This window comes from Homo sapiens, chromosome 10 (assembly GCF_000001405.40).
Source record: "Homo sapiens chromosome 10, GRCh38.p14 Primary Assembly".
NCBI classification, from domain to species: domain Eukaryota; kingdom Metazoa; phylum Chordata; class Mammalia; order Primates; family Hominidae; genus Homo; species Homo sapiens.
In genome coordinates, this window is record NC_000010.11 from 8,512,612 (window position 1) to 8,516,442 (window position 3,831).

A 3,831-nucleotide genomic window follows, 5' to 3' on the forward strand; every position below is an offset into this window, starting at 1 on the left:
TTGTCTCCATTTCATAGATGAAGGAACTAAAGTACAGATAAATTAATTTTACATGATTAAGTTTGCAAAGCTAGATAGTAGAAAACCATGGATATGAACCCAGGCTGTCTGGTTTCTGAGTTCCCCTTTGCTTTTTTTTTGGAGACAGAGTCCTGCTTTATTGCCCAGGCTGGAGTGCATTGGTGGGACCCTAGCTACTGTAGCCTAGCCTAGAACTCCTGGGCTCCAGTGATCCTCCTGCCTCAGCCTCCTAAGTAGCTGGGACTACAAGGGTGCACCACCACGCTTAGCTAATTTTTTAAGTTCTTTGTACAGATGGGGTCTTGCTGTGTTGCCCAGGTTGGTCTTGAACCCCTGGCCTCAAGCAATCCTTCTGCCTTGGCCTCCCAAAGCACTGGGATTATAGGCATGAGCCATGGCACCCCACCTGAGGTCCCCTTTGAACTACTAACTTCTAGGTCCCTGATAAACAACCCTGACAAACCTGACCAGGGGTGGGTCCAATTAGAGCTGGAAGGCCCTTAGGAAATCTTGTCCAGTGCTGCCCAAGCTGTTTAGAACACACATAGGATTCTTGGTAAAATATATTTGGGAAACACTAAACAGTTAAATTGGTGTTTGTTGTAAAGCTTTATTAGAATGTCTCATGGAGGCATTTGGTATGCTAAAGTTTATTGTGAATCTCTGAGAAAGCGTACATATGTGTGTAACACTGTGATCCTCAAAAACTCTCTGGCCACACAGTTTTTTTCTTTTCTTTTTTTCCTTCCTTCCTTCCTTCCTTCCTTCCTTCCTTCCTTCCTTCCTTCCTTCCTTCCTCTCTCTCTCTCTTTCTTCTTTCCCCCAGAGCTAGCTGAGGTTTTATTTTGGGGCGGGGCGGTGGGTGGAAAAGCAATTGAATTGTTTTGTAGCTGGAGGCACGGGCAAGGGGGGTCACCAGGCAGTAAACTCGCCCGCAGGTGGGCTGAGCCTCAGGTGGGTCTCCCGTTCCCTGTGCTCCCCTGCGGCCTTCCTCCCGGGCTTTAGGGCAGCCGCAGGAGGGGCAGGCTGGGAGGTGCTGCCACAGCCTTTCACTTGGGCAGGACGTCAGAGGACTCGGACACCAGCTTCCCATCGCGGGTCTCGATCTTCCTCACAACCACGGCCCTCGGGGAGCTGGTGCGGCTGAAGGAGTTGGAGCCCGCGCCAGAGCCAAAGCTGCAGCCCATGGCGTAGCTGAGGCCGGGGCTTGTGAGGCCCCCGCAGGCTGAGCTCAGATCACCTGCATAGCCGCTAGTGGTCTTCCTATGGATACTCACCTTCTGCATCCCAGACTCCAACCGGCTCTCCTCGCCCTCCAGCAGCTTCCTGTAGGTGGCGATCTCGATGTCCAGGGCCAGCCTGACGTTCGTTCATCAGCTCCTGGTACTCACGCCGCTGCCGCGCCATGTCCTGCTTGACCCGCTGCAGGGCGGCCTCCAGCTCAGACACCTTGGTGTTGGCCTCCTTAACGGCCAGCTCCCCACGCTGCTCCGCATTTGCGATGGCGGCCTCCAGGGAAGCCTTCTGGCCTTTGAGGCCCTCAATCTCCGCCTGGGACCGGCTGATGTTCCGGTTCATCTCGGAGATCTCAGTCTTTGTACTCCGCAGGTGATCCTCGTGCTTCCCAGGCAGGGTCTGCAGCTCCTTATACTTGATTTGGTCCATGTTCTCAGCCTCAGCCCGGCTGTGGTTGGCGATCTCCTCGTACTGCATCTTGACCTCGGCGATGATGCTTTCCATGTCTAGGGAGTGGCTGTTGTCCATGGACAGAGCTACAGACGTGTCCGAAATCTGGGACTGCAGATCCCGGATCTCCTCTTCATACAGCTGCCTGAGGAAGTTGATCTCAGTCAGCCCTTCCAGGCGAGACTCCAGCTCTACCTTGTTTATGTAAGCTTCATCCACATCCTTCTTGATGAGGACAAATTCATTCTCCAGCTCTGTACCCTTATTGATCTCATCCTCATACTTGTTCTTGAAGTCCTCCACCAGCCCCTGCATGTTGCCAAGCTCCGCCTCCAGCTTCAGCTTCTCCTGGCCTAGAGTCTCCAGCTGCCGCCTAAGGTTGTTGATGTAGCTCTCCAACATGTACATGTTGCTCTGAGCCATCTTCTGCTCCTGCAGGAGACTCCACTTGGTCTCCCGCATCTTGTTCTGCTGCTCCAGGAACCGTACCTTGTTGATGAAGGAGGCAAACTTGTTGAGGGTCTTGATCTGTTCCTTCTCGTGTGTGTGCACTGTCTGGATGTTGGGGACCACCTCCAGATTAAGGGGGCTCAGCAGGCTCTGTTTGACTGTGATGGCGTGATGCCTCCCATGCCGCTGGCCACACCATAGCCTCCACCCAGGCCACCCTGGAAACTGCTGATGCCCACTCGGGAGAAGCTCAAGGAGCTGATGCGGGCACTGGGCCCACTTGTGTAGGAGCGGCTGCTGAAAGTCTGGGGGCCAGAGGTGGACACGTTGTAGGACTGACTTCTGGGTCACCCTGATGGATATGGTGGAGGCAGGAGTGGAAGCAGGCGGGCTGAACCAGGCTGAGATTCCAGAAGGAGCAGAGAAGCTGCTTCTTGGTCCGTAAATCTTTTTTGAGGAGCACTTGGTAACATGTCTGAGGTTCACAGTTTAATGCATGTTCATGTAATCTGAGTGTCTCATATTGCAGATGGAGAAATGGATGTCCACACATAGAATGGAACTTGCTCAAATGGCAGATGTTTAATTGGTGGCAAAATTGAAATAAAACTCAGATCTTCAGCCTCCAAATGGAGTGCTCTTGCCACTATGCCACATAATAATGCACTAGATAATAGTGCCTGAGATAAAGAACCACAGTATTTTTTTTTCAATATTCCTGCCTAATTCATTCAGCACAGTGAATAGAACTGACGTGTATCTTTCCACTCTAATATTGCCACTTCTAAGCAAATAATCAATATAGTCCATGGCATTATTTTCCTGTTACTCCTGCTTCTGGGGCTGTGCATGGACCTCTTAAAAGCTAGACATCAGGCCAGCCGCGGTGGCTCATGCCTGTAATTCCAGTACTTTGGGAGGCCGAGGCAGGTGGATCACAAGGTCAGGAGTTTGAGACCAACCTGGCCAATATGGCGAAACCGCGTCTCTACTGAAAATACAAAAATTAGCCGGGTGTGGTGGCGGGTACCTGTAGTCCCAGCTATTTAGGGGGCTGAGTCCGGAGAATCGCTTGAACCCGGGAGGTGGAGGTTGCAGTGAGCCGAGATCACGCCGCTGCACTCCAGCCTGGGCAACAGAGTGAGACTCCATCTCAACAAAAAAAAAAAAAAAGGAAGAAAAATGAAAAAAGAAAAAAGCTAGACATCAGCCTTAGGGCTGGCTCTTGGTTGGTTATTGTGTTTTCAAGTGCCTGAGATCACATCTCTAAAGCGCTCTTCAGATATGTGGGTCATATGAATAAAACAGCTTAGGAACACAATTCTAAAATCTTTGAAACATCTTTCACCCTGCCAGAGGTTTGCATATTACATCTGAGGAATCTTACAAACAATCTTACATACTGTATATGTAAACAATAACAGGTGAATTCTAGGGAGGGGGTGGATTGAAAAATGTGGGCAGGTCAAACATGAAGAATGGGAATAGAATTATGGTGCTGCTAGTAATTTTGTAAACCAGCTTCCTAAGTTCTTAAAAAAAGGAGGCGGGGGGACTTAATTTGAGTGAGTAGCCATCATCAGCCTGTCCTTAACTGAGAGAAAACAAAATGGTTTCAAGGGAAGCTATATTGAAGTCAGCTAATATAGTGAAGTCAGATCATTCTGATGTATC

At 50.2% G+C, this 3,831-nt stretch overlaps 1 pseudogene; it reads right to left on the reverse strand.

Annotated features, from left to right (window-relative positions):
- On the reverse strand, positions 888-2,596 carry KRT8P37 (keratin 8 pseudogene 37; annotated as a pseudogene).